General features: G+C 36.2%; 1 protein-coding gene across 3 annotated transcripts in view; it reads right to left on the bottom strand.

Moving 5' to 3' along the window:
• The window catches only part of TNKS (tankyrase), a 226435-nt gene that overhangs the window by 66028 nt on the left and 138799 nt on the right, over nucleotides 1-21608 (bottom strand). For all 3 annotated transcript variants that reach the window (NM_003747.3, XM_011543845.4, XM_011543846.4), the window contains exons 6-11: nucleotides 11562-11656; nucleotides 10066-10132; nucleotides 9322-9508; nucleotides 7827-7948; nucleotides 6273-6364; nucleotides 6099-6177 (exon numbers count right to left, since the gene is read on the bottom strand). In NM_003747.3, coding sequence (NP_003738.2) covers nucleotides 6099-6177; nucleotides 6273-6364; nucleotides 7827-7948; nucleotides 9322-9508; nucleotides 10066-10132; nucleotides 11562-11656 — 642 coding nt within the window. The remainder of the gene's footprint in view (nucleotides 1-6098; nucleotides 6178-6272; nucleotides 6365-7826; nucleotides 7949-9321; nucleotides 9509-10065; nucleotides 10133-11561; nucleotides 11657-21608) is intronic.

Below are 21608 nucleotides of genomic sequence, written 5' to 3'. Positions count from 1 at the left end.
ACATCTTTGCGCTAACAATCTACTTATCAATCTACCTCTAGAAAAGCATTAATAAAACTCTTATAATGGGCTGACACATTTCCCCAAGTGAGCAAAGACTCGTGATCGCTTCTAAATGTGAGAAATAAGCCTATTAAATGTCAATTATTATGTCACAATATCTTCTTAAACACAATGTAAATAAATCTGTCAAATTAAGACATATGAATATGAACTGTCAAAAAAATTCCTTCATGTTTCACGTATTTAACAGATGCACATAATGACAAAATAGCTATGCTTTATATATGAAGAAATGCATTTATGAATTAAACTTCTTGAATACCATATGCAGTTGGGGCGTAAGTTTTCTTAATAATGAGAGCAGACAATTCATTACTGACAGAATGCAGAATGCCAGGGCAGACTAACCATAATAAAGAAAAAATTGCCACATGAAGGATAAAGTCTTCATGTCTTTCCTATTTAGACTTTATAGTACTCCCAAAAAGCAGGGGATAATAAATTATTGATTTTTTTTAAGGAACAAAAGTTTACTCCTAGTAAATGAGGATTTTTCAAATGAATTGGGTAATGCTCCAATGTTCTTGTAACTCTCCTTACTAGCAATTTGTTTTCTAATCTTTTGCTGAATATTGCCCTTATTCCCCTCTAGAGCCACAGCCATCCTCCACCTTGCTCTGGGTCCTGAGAAAATCACTTGTATGAACCACATCAACAGACTCTTTTGGTCTTCACTGTTTTGTTGAATTTGGTCACGGGCACTGGGAGGAGATGGGGGGTACTGGGAGGAGATAGAGGACAGCAGGACAATGAAGAGTAACATTAGATACATCCTTTGATCAAAGGCTACAGGTGGTACCAGGTGGCCTTTTCCATACAGCTACCATCTTCCAGCACCAAGAACCTCTCCTTTGCCTTGTCCCTTCAGACCAGAGATGATCATACCCGCCCCCCCTGCTGCTAGTACAACCTCTTTCCTTGCTACTTTCCTTGAACCTTGCCCACGTTTCTATACAGTTCCTTTATTAAACTTTCATCAAATTACCCACTTTAAGTGTGCCATTTATTGCGAAGACCCTAACTGAGATATATCTCTGCTTCTATCTCCTTAGAATCTCTCCTTCAAAAACTACCAAAGCCCTCATATAAAAACGGTCTAAGTAATGCCCCAGTCTGCCTTGATTTCTCTCAGTGGCACTGGTCACCTGCTCCTTCTTCATACTCCTCCTGTACTCTGTAGACACTGTGATAGAACTTCCAGCTTTCTCTTCCCACCACCGCTCTATAAACATGGGCAATCCTCAAAGGATCTTTCCTTAACTCCCTTCTTTCCATGCTTTCTCTACCAGGGACCGTACTTGCTCCTAAAATGTAGAATCACTATGTGAATTCTCAGTAGATCTTTCTAATCTTAAACTCTTTTATACTCTGATGCTGTCTTTCCAACTGCTGGTTTTATTAAATGTCTTTCTGTAATATCAACTTCAAGTAGAAAATCATTATCAAGGCGTAGGAAACCAGTGTTTCTCTGTAGCTTTCTTACTTCCATTAATTGCACCACCATTCTCTAAGTCCACTCTAACACCCAATTCATTTCCAGGTAATATAATTACTCCTTCATAAGTGGCTTTTATCTTCCTCTTCCTTCTTCATTACTAATGCTGCTAAATTGATTCAGGACTGAGGTCAAGTTTGGTAACTGCATTAACTTTCAAACTGGTATTTTCCACAGTATCTACTACAGTCTTGATTATTTTGCATGCCAATATTTATGGAGTTAGTGGATCAAACCCAATTATAAAGGGATTAGATATGTGTCTTATAAAATTTAGATAATTAAAGGGAAATACATAGTACATACACATTTGAAAAGACAAATGTGGGAAAAAAGGCTCATATTCACAAATAACCAAAACATTATCTGTGTGTTAAGCACTATACTACATATTTATATACATATGCTCATTTGATTAAAAAAAAAAAAAGCCTGTAGGGCGGTTGCTTCACATATCACTGATTAGTCAACTGAGACTCAGGGAAATTTAGCCCAAGGTCACAAAACTAGAAAGTGGAGGATTCTAAACTCAAAAGCATGCCTGTCTAGGTTATATATGGCGTACATTTAGTTTAACATTAACAGCAAACCTCAAGTTTGTATGTATTACCAGGTTTTGGGCAAAAGAATGTTTTGGCTTATAAAAATACCACTAAGTTCTGTCAAAGTAAGGCAAATTACTTAATGATAATTAGGTCTTCATCCCAAATTCTTCTGCCTTTGCCTGAGAAATTGATTCATCAAGAGTAGGGGAAGGCAGCAGGGTGCTAGAAGCAGTGGAAGAGGGCTGAATCCTAATTAAAAACTGGTGCTGCTTGTTCAGAAAGTGTGTTCAGAATCAAATGGAAACCATGAGTTGCCTGAAAATCATACAGAAACCATGAGTTCCTCAGAAAGAAATACTACGCAAGAAAAAATGGGAGCCCAACAATAGCTAAGTGAGTTTCTTACAGGGAGTTTTTTACAACACATTAATCACCAGATACACCAACCATGAGGAACAGCATCCTGCCTTGGGATGGGGTAAATAGGAGTTGCTACGGCATTTGATATCTACTGATAGCAATTGATATCTATGGGTTCATAACTCTGATTAAATATAACTCTCCTCTTTTTTAAGTGCCTACTAGCAAGCGTTATCAATGTAGATGAACTACAGTGGAAAGACTAGGATGAACACAAAAGTCTAGAAGTTCTTCTAAGTCATTGACAGGGCTAGTAATGAACTAAGATGTTACTGATGAAAATGTACTGTGCACATAAAGGGCAAATAAAGAGTGAGAACCACAGACCTAGAGAAAGGCTGACTAGAACAAGTCATAATGTTATTTTCCATTGAACCTTTATAAACTAAAATGCCTGATGGGAGACAATAAATAGATACTATTTTCCCAAAATGAAGGGCATTATTCCTAATTTTTCAAGAGCATTATAAATGTCATTAGATATTTGCAAAAACGGGTCAAAGATAAATGTACAAAGCTCCTAAGTGTAGCAGAAATGTCACTTAGCTTAGTGTTTTCTGCTTGAAAGAGCAACAAGATGCTACTTATATAATAATGCAGTAGTTGTACCTACAAAATAGGTAATACATCTGTAGAACTCTGTTCCCTTTTATTCCACTTTGTCTTCATTTCATAAATTAAAAACATAAAGTGCCATTTTAAGGCAGTGATATCCAAATTTTTAAATCACACACCCTCCAGGTAGAAAAGTTTTGAGAACACTTAATATATATATATGAATTTCTTTGTAAATTATAACCAAGAAGTGCTATACTATTATAAAACTTACACAAAGAGAATTTATGAAGGATGAGAAAGAGATGAAATAATTAAAAATTTAAAAAGATTTCATGATTATTATTTTCTGAGATAGAGTACTGCTCTGTCACCCAGGCTACAGTGTAGTGGCATGATTACAGCTCACTACAGCCTCGACCTCTTGGGCTCAAGTGATTTTCCCACCTCAGCCTCCCGAGTAGCTGGGACTACAGGAATGCACCACCACATCTGGCTATTTTTTTTTATTATTTGTAGAGACGGGGTTGGCCTGTGTTGCCCAGCTGATCTCAAAATCCTGGGCTCAAGCGATCCTCCCACCTCAGTCTCCCAAAGTGCTGGGATTAAGGCATAGGCTATGGTACCTGTCCAAAACATATTTTAATTACTTATGCTAGAAAATATCCATTGACTGTAGTTTAAACATTTAAAAAAACTTATAAAAATTGTGATATTAGGAATTTGAGGGTTTAATTTTAGGTTCATTTCATTTTTCTTTAGAGACAGAGTCTTGCTCTGTTGCCCAGGCTGCAGTACAGTGGTATGATCATACCTCACTGCAGCCTCAAACTCCTGGGATCAAGTGATCTTCCTGCCTCAGCCTCCCGAGTCGCTAGGACTATAGGTGCACACCACCACGACTGGCTAATTTTTAAATTTTTTGTAGAGATAGTGTCTTGCTGTGTTGCCCAGGCTGGTGTCGAACTCCTGGCCTCAAGCAATCCTTCTGCCTTTGCCTCCTAAAGCTCTGGGATTACAGGAGTGATTACGGGCCACTACACGTGGCTCTAAGTTCATTTTTGATAATTAGTTTGAATGGCTATATTAGTTGCAAAGATTTCATACAGATTCATGGAGCCAATGAAATAAATGCATTGTTAACTATGCCTACTCAATCAGAATGCCTAATTTTAATGTAATTTACTAATTATGCTAAGGCTTTCATTGAAATTCTGTAGTAAAATTCCATCTTTACTGATGTTCTTGCGAAGTTATTAGGAAGTGCTGCATTACAATGTTTTGAATAGATTCAAAATCTACCCTAAAACCAAATTAAGGAAGGCTTTTGAACAGGTGAGAAAATTCTGTTTTTATGTGTTTAAATTATGTAGATATGACGGCTGGGTGATTCATTTATATCATTTTTCAGCAAAATCACAGAAAAGTGAACATTTTCTAAAAATCTATGTTCAAAACGTTCTCTTCATTTTTTAAAGTTTCTTTTAAAAAAGCAGTTATTTTATCATTTACCTAAAGTGTGTAACTTTTACCTTTAAGGATCTGATTATGTTTCCTTTTTAAAGGGTATCTACATGCAAGTCATGGTCATTTGTCCTCAGAGAACTATTAACAAATTTTGAACCCTTTTATTTTCATTAAAAAGAACACAACTATGACAACACCTTAAAATACTACTTCACAAAATAACCAGACCACCTTTTTACACTATAAAAGCATGTCAGGGTCACTCCCTGTGTCCCTTGTCAGGGTCACTACTCTGATCAAGTATGATATTTATAAAAGTTCTACCATTTAGGATAATATCCATAAATTCAACTCATTTGGACACAAGTAAAGTACACTATGCCAAAATATGCTGAAAGGGAACAAACAAGTGAGTTTGCCACTGTCAATCCCTCGATACTAACAAGTCCCACTCTTACCTCAGGAAACCTTGACATCACGAGTCACAATGGCTGACACGTGGACCTAGTGAGAGTGCTGGCATCATCTTTGTATTCAATATTGGTAAATCTGAATTTCCTTATTCTTAAATAAAAGTATTATAAATTGAAATGCTAGGATTTTTCCAACAGGGCATCTTGTATGCTCCATAGGGAGTCTATACCCTACTTTGGAGACAACTGCTTTGAAATATACATTCTTGAGAATGAAAAAATCTATAATTTCAAGTCACCTCTAAAAAACAACCAGTTTGCTTCTTTCCTCTCTTAAGTGCTTGACAAAGTTTCAGACTACACCATTCAGAAAATGCCAGTAAAAATTATTAAATATGTCATATTTCTTTAGTGTAGAGGTTGAGAAAATTATTACAAATCTGAAGGCATACAATTTTTTTTTTTGAGACAGATTCTCACTCTGTCTCCCAGGCTGGAGTGTAGTGGCGCAATCTCAGCTCACTGCAAGCTTCGCCTCCCAGGTTCATGCCATTCTCCTGCCTCAGCCTCCTGGGTAGCTGGGACTACAGGCACCCGCCACCACGCCCGGCTAATTTTTTGTATTTTTAGTAGAGACGGGGTTTCACCGTCTTAGCCAGGATGGTCTCCATCTCCTGACCTCGTGATCCACCTGCCTCGGCCTCCCAAAGTGCTGGGATTACAGGCGTGAGCCACTGTGCCTGGCCACAAATGTTTTTTAGAATAAGTAGAGCTATTCTGATGCTATCATTTAACATAATTTATTTTCTGATAAACTGTTATTCAAGTGGACACTATCAAAATATATCCGTATAGTATTAACTGAAAGTAATGTAAAGATGAAATCTATTTCAAATGACTATAGCTATATTTTGTTGCTTTACAGAAGGGTGACATTAAAGGATCAAGAAACACGGGTAATTATTTTTATTAGAAACAAGATCTAAATCAGCTTTATAGGAGAATCCATGAATTTAAGTACGAACTAATAGTCCTTTATAAAATTAGTTTCTTCAGAAAAATCGGAGAGAGAGAAGCAGTGTTAAGAGCAGCTGGCTGCTCAGTGCTGAGTCTGGCACTCTGCTCAGGTGTGTGCCTCACCTTGGCGCCATGCTTATGCAGAACTTCCATGACATCATTATGGGCTCTTTCGGCTGCAACATGCAGGGGAGTCATGAAACTACAGAAAAGAGGAAAGAAAGAAAAGGTAATTGTCTCTCTTTTATTGCATTTCCTCTTTAGGAACTGAACAACTCCTTCTGCAATTATACTTACTCTTTATTTTTTTCATTAACATTTGCTCCTTTTCTAAGTAACAATTCTGTCACTTGTTTACGTTTGGGATGCAGAGAGGCCACAGCACAGTGCTATAAAGTAAACAAAACCAAGTTAATAAAATACACTTCCATATGTACAGTAGCTCTTGGAATTGAACAGTATCTGCTGACCATTTAAAACATTGTTATCTCAGAGTATCAGAACATATGTATATGTTTTATATCACAGAGATGATCCATATTCTTTCTACGTATAGTGGAAATACAAAACGTAAGCGTTTAAACCAAGGTGAAATTATGCTCTTAAACATTAAGAGAGATCTTATTTCTTTTGGCTTAGCCAATCAATAAATATTCACTATATATTCCATGGAGAGCATCATAATACGTATGCCTCTGCAACGCTACAGAAATCTATAACTAAGTTACTCAATCTTTCATTAGGCCATCAGCCACACAAGTCAGTATTTCTAAGCTCTTCTACAGAGGTACTCCCAGCACTACAGGAGACGTTTATATGCCCAAGGATAAGCAAGAAAATGATAGAACTGAAGCAGTTTAGAGAAAAATATTCTCAGAAATTTTAGGTTTTAACATAATATTTATACAACTTTTTTATTCTGCTTCATTTTAATATTCGTATTAAAATTTAAAAATAAAAAACTACTTTCAACTAAATAAAATGAAAACTCCAAAAAAGTGGGTCAGGTTTATTCTGTGGCTATGAATATCTCCTAGCATAACACCGTGTAGCTTGAATCTATCTCAACCCTAGTTTGAGAGACATGTATTTAAGTGTACATATAGTTAGCCTATTTCAGTTTGGTCAATCCTTTAATGTTGTTTTATGCAGATACTGACAAACGTTTGATCTTTTGTGTCAAATATACGTAAGAATATTAATTAGGTATATTTAAGGTCTGTGATGCAGGCATCACATATGCTTAAATTCTGAATTTAGGAGCGATCACTAACCACTCTCTAGCTGAGCCTTAATGTGTCAATGACAAAGAAAATAAATAAATCTTTCCGAAAGTGCATTTGAAGAAAAAAACGTGGATAGTTTTAAGAATAATTTGTATAGTATCAAACAAAAAATTCATGATCTTGCCATTTTTCTACCATGAATATAATCAGTTCTTTGAATACAATTGCTCAAAAAGATAATGCAAATATCTAAAAATATACTTTAATCTTCTACAGAAGGAAATCTAGTATTTATCTAGCAAACATAAGAAAAAAAAATTCTATTGAAAAATCATATCTTGTAGTTTATGAAAGCACTGGCCACAAAAGTGGATTTGTTATAATGAGGTGGGGAAGACAAAGGTAAAATAATTTCCAAATTGAGGTTGAGCAAATGTCAATTCTCTCACCCATGAAAAGAATCACCCCCCAAACTAAGTTTAAAAATCAATGCAACCAAAATTAACATGCAAATTCCTGGCATTTCAGATACTAAAGTTACTTTAAGGTTTCTGAAATGAAAATCATATTTTGTGCTTACGTTATTATTATAGACACAGGGAATAGATTAACAATAAAATCTTACCAGTGCTGTTTCATGAGACTGCGGTTGTTTGAAATTAATGATTTCCAGAGCGAGTGTTTTTTTAACTTTAGCTAAGTCTGCTTCTCTGGCTGCTTGTAGTAAAGAATGACCTTTAAATTCATCTGTCAATGAAACAATGGTTGACATAAAAAAAGATGTAAAAATGTATAAAAATCTTCAGCATGATTATAAATAAGTAGGAATATTATTATTTTATGAATTTCTCTATTTTAACAACAGCAGCAATGTGATAATATGATGATAAAAATGCAAAAGATGAGGATGTAGATTAATGTGAAGTATGTATGCTCTGAAATAAGACTGTTTCACACTCTCAGAGTCATAAAGATACACCTATAAAGATACTTATTGCAGCAAAATTTTGAAACAGGAAACCTAAATGTCCACCAAAAGGAAACCAGTTAAATAATTTGTGTGCACATATGCTGTAACACTTTCTAGCTCTTAAACAAGAGATAGGTCTACATACACTGACATGAAAGTATACAGTGGTACATGAAAATTCAAAAAAGAAAGGACAGGCTGATGCATTATTTTTGGTATTGTCACTACTCTTGCTACTACTATTGCCACCATAAGTACACCATAAGTAATGGTATAGAAAACATTTACAGAAATATTTACCAAAATATCAATGGTGATTAGGTCTTGACACAGAAAAGGAAAGGACTAAAATATGGGAGAAATGCAGAGCTTGAAAATTTTTCAAAGAACAATTAATAGCTTATTATTTTCATAACCAGGTGAGAGATTTTTTGAAAAGCTGTATCTAAATTAATTGCATGAATGAGAATCCAATATTTTTATATCTTTAACTATGCTGAAACAAAAAGTTTATTTAAAAAACATTTGCATGTATATATTGGTAATATATTCAGAAGATGACCTCAACCTAATTATTTTTAAAATCTCACTTAAATATGGGAAAGTGATTATACTTGGGTCATAACACACATGACAAATAAAAATATGATTGTGCAGCCTTGCAGGGCTCGGGAAATGGGGAGGGCTCAATAATGCTAGATACCTGTCACTGTCAATGGCACAAGAACGTAAGCCCATAAGAGGTTTCAATAATGCTAGATACCTATCACTGTCAATAGCACAAGAATGTAAGCCCCAGAAGCTCAGAGCTTTTTAATGGTTTGTACACTGCTATATTTCTAGTGCCTGCCACATTGCAAGTATCCAAGAAATGGATGCTGATTGACTCATCCTCATTAGCCTTCAAAAAACCAAAAAAGGAGCTTCAACATACGAATTAAAACTAGGCTCGAATAAATACAATATATACAAAAAGTGTCTGTATATAACATTCCCATGGAATTCATGAAGAAAAGTATACAATTAGAAATGAGGATTATGAATTAGTCTGCTTGTAAGAATGGAAGGTTATTATTTAAGGTAGATAAAACTCAACAGAAATTAAATATTCCAATTTATGCGATAATGATTTCGGGATATAAATACGTACAAGTCAATCTCTCCCTAAGCTCCGGAGTTGGAGCCATATCCACAGCACTTTTGCCATGGCAGTTGACTAATGTAGGATCAGCGCCATGGCTAAGTAACAAAGAGCAGACTTCTACACGGTTCTTGGAAGCAGCCTCGTGCAGTGGAGTAAACTGCCAGAGATCCATGGCATTAACACAAGCTCCATGCTGAATTGAGAAAAAAAACATTTTAGGTCAGTAATCATTTTGCTGGATCAAATAAAACTCAAAAGACATTTATTTCTTTGTAAATTTCAGTTATAACTTGTTCAAATAAGTGTTTTAATTTCTTCAATATCACCTTTCAAAAACAGCTGAAATTAAATTCAATGTTTTAAAAATTTTAAGGCAATGGTAATATGTTTAAAAACGTATTTTATTCTCTTAAAATCTAAAAAAACAAGACTGGGCAACATGGCAAAACCTCGTCTCTACAAAAAACATAAAAATTAGCTGTGCGTGGTGGCACACCCCTGTAATCCCAGCTACTGGGGAGGCTGAGGGGGAGGATCACTTGAACTTGGGAGGTTGAGGCTGCAGTGAGCTGTGAATGTGCCACTGCACTCCAGCCTGGGTGACAGGGCAAGACCCTGTCTCAAAACAAACAAACAAAAAACCCCAAAGAACTAAACAAACTTTCATGAGGCCGAAAGTATGGAAAGTCATGACAAGGTAAAGAAAAAAAAAAAAAGTAAATGATGCTCAATATTCTGAATTTCTCTTACCTTTAGTAGCAGTTCTGTGACTTCATAATGTCCATATGAACATGCATTATGAAGAGGCACAAGTCCACTAAATGAAAAGAGGCAAATTAAAATACTTAAATTTCAAACAACTTATTTATCCATGTCGTACTAAGAAATAAAATCCAATAAATCCCAATACAATTATTTTAAAATATTTAAAAGTATTTAATAAAATAATAAAAGAATTCAAAGCATAGCTTATGTTCACACCTTTTGTATTTATCTTGTTTTTTGTATATAATCCTTGAAGATAATGAAAAAAATACCAAATAGAAGAACATTTTGGCGAAAGGAAGATCATATGCTAATTGACAAATGCATGCATTATATATTAAGTATTTACAAGAAATAAATGTTAATTGGTAGTGAACTGAAATATTCCACCATTTTAATTCACTTTAATGGTAATTTCTAGCAAAATAATCAAATATCCAAACTATTATAACTTGCATATCAAAGTATTCTAAATAAACCAAAAAAACCCTTTTTTTGTGGTGTACATCTCTTGATGACTCACCTATTGTACACCCATCTGTTTTCAGACATGCACAAGGAAATAGAGATGTACAAGAGCATCAGGCATTTATGCCCCTATACTACTGGGACACCATTCACATATGGCACAAAACCTGGTGCAGGCAAGAGAACAGCACCAGAAAAAGCAGATTGGAAATGGAAGAATTCTTCTGGTAAGTGTCTCAAGCATTGAGTTCATTTTTATGTTTCTTGACTTGGGGAGGGACAAAGTGAAAGAAACTCTCCTCTAGGGCATCTCTTCTTTATGCTGTCAGTCACAAGACTGTAACATAATCTACCTTACCTGGGTAGTAGGGTTAATTATCTTTCAGATCTTAAAGTGGGGCAATGAGAAATGTTAGTCCACCACATAGGACAGCAAACCCAATGATCGTATATCTCTGGAGACTTTACAGGAAACTGATACAAAGTTTTCAAAAATGACCTACTGGTAAAATAAATGACATAACTGCTTTTTTAGTTACCACCCATATCCCCTCACATCAACCTTCTAGGTTTTCTCAGTTTAGATGTCCAAGATTTCACCAGAAAAAAAATTTGGTATTGTATACTTATGATTTTGGTTTATCAATAAAGGATGATCCTTTACTATCTGTTGAATCTGATAGCTATGCTACTGGATTTTCATAATTTTCAATTTGTTTTATTTTTCTAAAATGCAATTTAAGAGTTGAAAAACCCTAACTGCAACTGAGACACAATTTCAACTTCAAGTAACAGAACGGTGATAAAATTAAATTGATTTGGGAAATTATTATGAGAAGTATCCTTAATTAAGTAGGTACATGAAAATAAAGCCTCAAACCAGAGTTATGAACATTCTTAAAACGTTATGTAAGCCGTAACAAATGGGACATATGACTTTGTCTAGTGTTTTAAAAGTTTAGAGTATCAGACAAAAAACAAAGCACTGACAGGAAGTAAACTGATAGACCTACCCTTTGTCTTTTGCATGAACATCAGCACCATGCTGAAGAAGAAGCTGAACTATTCGAACTCTGTTGTAGCCCGCTGCTAGATGTAAAGGAGTCGACTAGAAAAGAAAAACATCCCCTTTTCAGGTAAAAACAAACAAACAAAGAAAATCCTTGCTTTGCCATTTCAGATTTAAACACAATGAAAGTTGACACAAAAATACTGCGCTGAAATGTCAAAAATTCACATTTCATAACTTAAGGAGAGATAATTTACTGCCCTCAGGAGTCAATACTAACTTTAGTGCCATCCACCTATTTCACTTACTTGTTTTTTTAAGGCCATCAGTAATCAAACCTTACCCTACCTATTCTACATGATTTCCTATTTCTTTCCAACATGAAACATTCTCACTGTTCTGAGAAGACACACCAGGGCTCATGTTTCCTATAATTGGAAACATTCTTCCTTATCCTACTTAAATCCTGTCCTCCTTTCAATTTCTAACCTTCAAATCCCAATTCTACCATAAAACTTTATCTAAAGATCTAGCTCTCAAAATTTCTTTAATAGGAAAGATTGAAAAACATCCCTAAAGAACAATTTGAACAAACTTTAATGGAAACAAAAAGGACAATGGGCCTTATTCATTCTGTACGGCGGCTAGTAATGGTCAAAACTAATTTGCTACACTGGGTGCAATGATGTATACCAAGGTAGCATTTAATTCTTCCATTTTATGTACCACATACACAGTGTAAAGACAAGAGAGGAATACAGTTTCTTCCCAGCTAATTTCTGCCACATTGTAATTTGAGTCAAGTTATTAGAAGGTTCTCTACTAAAATTTAGTATGGTAATTAAAATAATCAAACTTCTCACCTTTTAAGAATCAGAAATAACTTCACTTTAATTAAAAACTTCTCTGCAACCATAGCAATTTTCCACCTTTGCTAATTTAAAGTTTAAATACCATAACGGGTTTTTCATACAGGCTTTAATATACTTTAATGCATTCCCTTTCATTTTTCCTGTCTTCTATTTGGGGTCTTGAGATTTAATAAGATTTTTAATTTATTTGCTTCACCTATTCCAGATGTGAAGATACAAAAGAAGTACTAAACACTGTACTACTATTGCTTTTGAGATATTTCATACATTTTACATATTCTGTCAGTCTCTAAGTTTAGAAAATATTTTGAGCAATGCACAGCTATCAACGAGGAGACCATTCAGATTAGAAGAGTCCTGAACAGGAAGTCAGGAAACCTGACTACATTCCTGGAACTTATTATGCAACCCAGTGGAAGTCATGCTACTCGTGTGTCTCAGCTTCTTCATGTATAAAATGGAGATAAAATCACTCATCCTCGCTATCTGAAAAACCTGTGAAAATACAGTACAATTTCACTTACCTGTGGTTAATTTTAGTCTGAAAATATTACTTGTGGAATTCCAGAAACAAACAATTGATAAGTTTTAAGCTGAGCACTATTCTAAGTAGCCTGATGAAATCTGCCCACTTTGTGCCACCTTGGATGGGAATCATCCCTTCCTCCAGCATATCCACACTGAAGATGCTACAAATTAAGTAGCCATCTCAGTTATGAGATCAAAAAACCATATATAGGGTTTGGTACTATCCGAGGCTTCAGGCATCTACCGGGCTCCTGAAACGTTATCTCCCGAGGATAAGGGAAAACTACTGTAAAGTTTTCACCCATACAGAAACACATTTTTGTTTCTTTTTTGTTTGTTTGTTTTTTGGATGGAATCTCACTCTGTTGCCCAGGCTGGAGTGCAGTCGCTTGATCTCGGCTCACTGCCACCTCCGCCTCCCGGGTTCAAGTGATTCTCCTGTCTCAGCCTCCCGAGTATTTGGGATTACAGGCGCGCACCACCATACCCAGCTAATTTTTGTATTTTCACTTGAGCTGAGGTGTCACCATGTTGGCCAGACTTGTCTGGAACTCCTGACCTCAAGTGATCCACCCGCCTCCACCTCCCAAAATGCTGGGATTACAGGCGTGAGCCACTGTGCTTTTTTAAAATGTAAAATGCCATGTAAAAATAGGCAACTAAAATTTTTTATCATCAAACATGTCCAGCTAAGTTTCTGCTTTGAGATCCATGTCAAATGCTACTGCAAATGATACTGTCAGGGAGTATCAACTTACTTTCAGGACTCTTCACTCTCATTTTAGAAGAATACTTCTGCTGGATAATGAAGTTTAGTTAACTTTTTTCCTTCCTTTAATATTTTAAGAATGTTATACCACTGTCCTCTGTCTTGCTTTGTTTCAAGCCTAGAAATCTGTTACCCTTATCTTTGTTCCTTTGTACATGTGTTTTTTCCCCTGTGGATACGCTAATATTTCCTCTACATTAATATTTCACTGACTTAAAGCAATTTGATTATGATGTGCCTTGGTATAGTTTTCTTCGTGTGTGTATGTGTGTGTGTGTGTGTGCACGCACACGCATGCATGCCCACAATTGGAGCTTGCAGTGCTTCTTAGACCTATATAGTTTTCACTAAATTTGGAAAATTTTTAGCTATGATTTCATCAAATATTTTTTCTGCTCCCTCTCCTATTACTCTCACTAGGGAATTATTCCCACTAGGGACTTCAATTACACAAATATTAGGTTAATTTCAAAGCTTGCTTCTAGGCTTTGGTAGGCAGGGCCAGAGCAGCCTTTAGTGTAGGACAGATTTTCCCCTACTACTGAGGCATTGTCCTTTGATGACACCCAGTGAATTATGAGGGCTTTTTACTATGGCTGGTGGCAACAGAAACTATTACAGACTCTGTGTGAGTTCCTAGGCTTGTTACCTCTCATCTTTCCGTGTGGTTCTTTTACTAGCCTCAAGCAGTCTCCTCACCCATGTGTTACTCAGTACTTATCTGAACACTGTAAGGGGCCCCTGTGTGTATCTCCCTTTCCTGGCCCACTGCCTTGCTAACTCCTTCCACCTTAGTCTCCCCAAACTCCCAATTTCATCTCCTCAACTCAGGGAGACCATCAGGTTCCTCCTGGTTTTCCCCTCCTTGTGTTAAGGCCTGGAAATTCTTTGGAGGCGGTAAGTTGGAGTTGTTACCCTCTCTCAGGGATAATTACCATGTACTGCCTGATGCTCAATGTCTGAAAACCACTGTTTCATACATTTTGTCTATTTTTCTCAGAGTTTCAGGAAGCAAGGTAAATCTAGTCCCTCTTATTCTATCTTGGATTCTTTCATGACTGAATTGGACTTTTCATTGCAGTTTGAAAACTTCCTCCACAGACAAGGACTGCTTTGGAGGACTGGTCAGTAAGTCAGCAAGCTAGTATAGCACATAGCTAATATTTAATATTACATAAAAAGGGTCACATCTTTCTTGCTTATGAACAAAAAGATGCTCCATTTTCGTATTATCTTTTACACAACTTTCTTTGTATAAAGTTCATTCAGTAACTTTTATTTCTTATTCCTGAAAATGAACAAAAGTTCTCAAATGAATGAATGCATATGAAAACCTACAGTTTATTTAAAAGGGCAGGTCGGGCATGGTGGCTCACGCCTGTAATCCCAGCACTTTGGGAGGCTGAGGCGGGCGGATCACGAAGTCAGGAGATCGAGACCATCCTGGCTAACACGATGAAACCCTGTGTGTCTCTACTAAAAATACAAAAAATTAGCCAGGTGTGGTGGCGGGCACCTGTAGTCCCAGCGACTTGGGAGGCTGAGGCAGGAGAATGGTATGAACACAGGAGGCAGAGCTTGCAGTGAGCAGAGATGGGGCCACTGCACTGCAGCCTGGGCGACAAAGCAAGACTCCGTCTCAAAAAAAAAAAAAAAGGGGGCAAAACATAAGAAAAATTTAACTAGTTTTCAGATTTTAAAAAATCATTTAATTGTAAGATTTACAATGCTTTGAAAACAGTAATATATTTAGTTTTTAAACTACTGAAATTTATATAACTCAAATAAATTAGCAGGCTCTGTAATTAAGGTAGAAAGTGACAGGAAGTCGGTGAAAAAATGGAGTTGAAGGGTGAGTTTTCAAAAACTATTAGGAAGCAGAATTGATAGCCTCTGAGAAATGACTGATCTAGCTAGTGAGAGATAGAGTAGTTTCCAGGTTGGAAATGCCAATGACAGAAGAACAACAGAAAAAAAAAAAGAAGGGAGTGTAAGGGAAAGGAGAGCCCAGAGGGAAATAATGTGAGGTCTGGGTTTACTGAATTTAAAGTGCCTAGATGATACCCCAGTGGTAATGTCAGAGAGAGAGACTTACACGTATGGCACTAGAATTCAGAAGAGGTTAAGGCTAAAACAAAAATCTGGTCATCACTAGCATTCACCTAAAATATGTGAATTTCTACCACGTATCTGACACCACGTTAAGTGCTAGGGATAGCAATGAAAACAAGGAAAGCGAAATCAGTATTTTGAGCTTATGGATCTTCTTCTTTCTCAAAATCACACCAAGTTTGATTCTCTAAAGGAAATGCATATAAATGAATTCTTTATTCAGAAGGACAAAAGATGAGGAAACAGAAGTCTACATTTTAAGGAGTCAAGTCACTAGAGAAAGCAGGCAATACAATATAAATGCTGTGGATGTGGACAAATCCCATGGAAGGGGAGTTCAGGACACCCGGGAAGGCTGGAGGATGCTGGTCTAAACCACTCTAGAGGCAAGCAGAGGGAAACGGGGCCAGGGAAGATTCTCAGAAGAAACGCTTTCTGAGCTGAGACTTTGGATAAACAGAATCACTGAGGCAAAAGAATAAGAAACTATTCCAGGTTGTGTGAAGAATCCATGTTAATATTCAGTGGACAAGGTATATTTGAGAAACTTAAGAAAAATTCAGTGGCTAAGTGTAGTGTATGAGACTGGGGAGAGCCTAAGAATAATGAGAAATCACTGAAAGACTTGAAGCAGAAAATTACTTAAGATTAGAGTCTTGGAAAGATCACTTTAGTTACTAAGTGGAGAATAAAGCTGAAGAGAGAGAGCAAACTCTATGGCAGGAAGGCCTGAACAGAAGGGTACAGGACTAATCCAAGAGAGAAATGATGACGCTGTCAGCAAAGTGGCAGCAGCATCTAAGTAGGAGTAGCTGAGCTATGAGAGTGGTGAATTCACAAGAAGGGTGAGTGCAGAACAAGCTGGGTGAGACTTTCCAAGTCATCATTCCCATGTGAATGCTAATCCTGCAACTTATATAGCATCACTAGAAGGCACATAGAAATAAATAAAATGCATGCAATAAATTTGAGAAAATGGCAGACTGCAAAGAGAAAAAGAACAGACAAATTGAGAAAAAAAAGGATGATTTGCGCAAACTCATGCCACTAAAAGCCCTGAGGTTTTTCAAACTTTGGGAAAAAAGAAATTTACAACTGCTATTTACCAAATGCTGTCTCCTGATCCAAAGCAAAAAAATCACACACCCTAGGACTAAACCTAGTGAATGGTTACCACATAGTGCCAAATTTATATCTCAACTGCCAAATGGCAAAGCAATGGTAAAAGTAATTTTCTAATTGCTAGGATAATTAACAGAGTATCATTTGTTTTAGATAAATAAGGCAGCCCCATTTCTAAAATACACATGTTGCTACGTAATTTGATGATGGTTGTAAACTAGTAAACACAAGCATCAAACATTTAGGACATCCACATACACAGCACAGCAATCACTGCCAGTTTCTACACCTCTGATTTATTCTAAAAACAGACGTTTCTGTTAGGATCATTTTAAAAGACAAACATGTAAAGTAAATTATGGAACAGACACAAATACAAAAGCTATCTAAATATTATTCTGCTGTAAGATAAATCTTATCACTGATATCTTCATATCATAAAATGTTAACAGAAAAAAAGGTCTTAAGGAAGTCCTATAAATTAAAGATGTCTTCTTGGATTCAGGCTATAAGAAAAAACAAACTTGCATTTGTCTATCTTTGCCTTTTCTCATATAGATTTGCGGTGCAGTATAAAGCATTTAAGGTAGTTTTAATTTTTCCTATACAACCATGCATGTAAGGCATAGCTAAAATAGTGACAACTGATAAGCCTTTTGCAAAGCTGTGGCTTCAACGTAAGTCCAGGAAGCATGGCATGCAAAAATGAATAAAGGCTTTTAAATCCTGGTTTTGCATTCTGGCTTTGGAAATTTTACTAGGTATTTGTGTTAATTTATTAACGTCTCTGCGTCCGGGCTTCCAACATCTGTGAAGTGGGAAGTGTAATCCCTATCACACAGGAATGTTTTACAGATTAAAGATAACTGTACAAAGTACATAATACGGTATTTATCACATTGGAAAAACTCAACAAATGATAGTTATTATTTATCATCATCTTATTAAGTTGCTTATATACTTAAGCTTTTTTTTTTTTTTTTTCATTTTAAAATTTAACTTTTAGATACAGGGGGCCATGTGCAGGTTTGTTACATGGGTATACTGCAGTCAAGTAGTGAGCATGGTACCCAATAGGTAGTTTGTTCTTGAACCTGTGCTGCCCGCTCTAGTAGTCTGCAATGTCTACTGTTCCCATGTTTATGTCCACGTGTGCTCAATGTTTAGATCCCACTTATAAGTGAGAACATGTGATATGTAGTTTTCTGTTCCTACATTAATTCGTTTAGGTTAATGGCCTCTGGCTCCATTCATATTGCTGCAAAGGGCATGACTTCATTCTTTTTCAGGGCTGTGTGGTATTCCATGGTGTATATGTACCACATTTTCTTTATCCAATCCACCACTGATAGGCACCTAGGTTGATTCCATGTCTTCGCTATTGTGAATGGCATGGCAATGAACATACAACTTCATGTATCTTTTTGGTATGATAATCTATTTTCCTTTGTGTATAGATCTAGTAATGGGATTGCTGGGCCTAATGGTAGCTCTGTTTTAAGTTGAGAAATTTCCAAACTGCATTCCACAGTGTATAAGCATTGCTTTTTCTCTGCAAATTTGTCAGTATCTATTGTCTTTTGACTTTTTAATAACAGCCATTCTGAGTGGTGTGAGACAGTATCTCATTGTGGTTGTGATTTGCGTTTCTCTGATGATTAGTAATGATAAGCATTTTTTCATGTTTGTTGGCTGCTTGTATGTCTTATTTTGAAAAATGTCTGTTCATGTCCTTTGCCTACTTTTTGATGGGACTGGTTTTTGCTTTGAATTAAGTTCCTTATAGATCCTGGATATTAGACCTTTGTCAGATGCATAGTTTATGAGTATTTTCTCCCATTCTGTAGATTGTCTATTTACTCTGCTGGTAGTTTCTTTTGCTGTGCAGAAGCTCTTTAATTAGGTCCCACTTGTCAGTTTTTATTTTTATTACAACTGCTTTTGGAGACTTAGCCAAAAATTCTCTGCTAAGGCTGATGCTGAGGATGGTATTTCCTAGGTTTTTCTCTAGAATTTTTATAGTTTTAGGTTTTATAATTAAATTCTTAATCCATATTGAGTTAACTTTTGTATATGAGGAAAGGTAAGGGTCCCATTTCATTCTTCTGCATATGGCTAGCCAACTATCCCAGCACTATTTCTTGCATAGGGAATCCTTTCCCCATTAATTCTTTTCGTTGGACTTGTGGAAGATCAGATGATTATAGGTATGTGGCTTAATTTCTGAGCTTCCTATTCCATTCCATCAGTCTACGTGTCTGTTTTTTGTATCAGTGCCATGCTGTTTTCTTTATTGTAGCCTGACAGTATAGTTTGAATTTGGGTAGTGTGATGCCTCTGGCTTTGTTTTTTGCTTAGGATTGCTTTGGCTACTTGGGCTGTTCTTTGGTTCCATATGATTTTTAGAATAGTTTTTTCTAATTTTTTGAAGAATGATGTTGATTGTTGGATAGGAATAGCACTGAACCTGTAAACTGCTTTGGGCAGTATGGCCACTTTAATGATACTGATTCTTCCAATCCATGAGCATGGAATATTATTCCATTTGTTTGTATCATCTCTGATTTCTTTCAGCAGTGTTTTATAGTTTTCCTTGTAGAGATCTTTCATCTCTCTGGGATAGCTATATCCCCAGCTATTTCATTTTATTTGTGGCTACTGTAAATGGGATTGAGATCTTGATTTGACTCTCAGCCTGGATGCTCATGGTGTATAGAAATGCCACTGATTTTTGTACATGGATTTTGTATACTGAAACCTTGCTAAAATCGTTTATCAGTTCTAGCAGCCTTTTGGTGGTGTCTTTACGGTTTTTTATACTTAGAATAAAATCATAGTGTCAGTGAAGAGAGGTAGTTTGACTTGTTTTTTTTCCCTATCCAGATGCCTTTTATTTCTTTTTCTTGCCTGACTGCTCTAGCTAGAACTTCCTCATGTTATTTCTTAGTGGTCATTTATCAGTCCTTATCTTATCTGACCTTATTAGCATTATTTGGTATCGATGATCACTTCTTCCTCCTTAAAATGTTTTCTTCCTTGGCATCTAGTTCACCACACTCCTTATTTTCCTCCTCCCTAGCTGGTTACCCCTTCTCAGTCCTTGCTGGTTGGTTTTCATTCTCTTGACATTGGAGTACTCCAAAAGTCTGTCCTTAAACCTCTTTTCTACATTGTCTAACTCATTCCTTTGGTGAGCTCATGCAGTCTTGTAGCTTTAAATAGCACCCATGAACTGACAACTCCCCAGTTATATCTCCAACCTAGTCCTCTTTGCTAACTTCCATACTGTGGAGGTTACTGGTTACTATATGGAGTAAATGACATATAGTCATATGCTATAATCCAACTGCCTATGTGACATCACTACATGATATATGTAAGACTTCTCATGCTTTTCTCCTGTCTAAAATGGAGCTCCCCCTAGTGCTTCCCTTGAAACATATGCTGCAGAATTTCTTGTTAATGACAACGCCATCCTTTTAGTTACTCAGGCCAAAAACTTTGGGAGTCTTTCTTCATTCCCATCTTTTTCCCACACACTATGCTCAACCCATCAGACTATTTCTCTTGGAGACTATGCCTCCAAAATATATCCAGAATCCAATCACTTCTCACCACATCTACTGTCACCTACTTGAAGACAGTATCCTCTCTCAGCTGGCTAGTGGCAACAGCCTTCTACTAGGTCTCCTTGCTTCCAGTATAATCCCCTTAGAGTAACACAACATGACAGCAGAGTAATCCTGTTAAAACCTAAGTTAGGTATACAAATCTTGTGCTCAAAATCTTCCAGTGGGTCTTCATCTCACTCTAAGAAGAAACTGAAGTGTTTAAAATGTTCTAGAAGGCCATAAGCAATCTCCCTGACTACATCCCATCCCACAACTTTCCAACTTCACCTTTTCCTCTCCCCTTTCTTCACTCCACTCCACTTCATGCAACTCAAATGCCACAATTATCAGTTAGCTAGAACCACTGAGAATTAAAGTAACTTCTGAAAAAATTAAGTCAGTAACAAAATATGAATATTTAATTTCATACATATCTTCTTAATAAATCCAAACAATGATGGAAGGTAAAATCTTCCTAAGGATTAATATTAGAATTAAAAGTTCTTATGGATTCATAATGTAGCTATCTGCTTTGGAAGACCTATATACTGTTATGTGCCTGGAACACAAAAATTTAATGACTACATCTTTTGATTTCCCCACTGAGCAATAAAATCATGACAACTATCAGTATGTCTAGATGTATTATCACATACTTAATCCAAATGGAATTTTAGCATTTACATTTTAATATAAAATATATGTTGTTATCTCACAAATGACTGCTGGGTACATAAGAAAAGGTTTCCTTGCTCTGATAATGCTGGGGAAGTTTTTCAAGTTATAACTACCATCTAGACAGAATAGCCTAGCATCTAGCTCACCTTTCATCTAAAAGCATAAAATATAAATATTTTTAATTTCTTAGGACTATTATTATTATTGAACAAAATTTTTAAATGAGATTCCAAAATACCAATGTTCCATATAATTACCTGTTTTCTTCTTGTTCTGTCTTTGGACAATATCTTTTTTTTTTTTTTTTTGAGACAGAGTCTCGCTCTGTTGCCCAGGCTGGAGCGCAGTGGGGTGATCTC

Source organism: Homo sapiens, chromosome 8, assembly GCF_000001405.40.
Source record: "Homo sapiens chromosome 8, GRCh38.p14 Primary Assembly".
NCBI lineage: Eukaryota > Metazoa > Chordata > Mammalia > Primates > Hominidae > Homo > Homo sapiens.
Note: the sequence above shows the minus strand (reverse complement) of the source record. Positions and strands in the feature narration are given on the sequence as shown.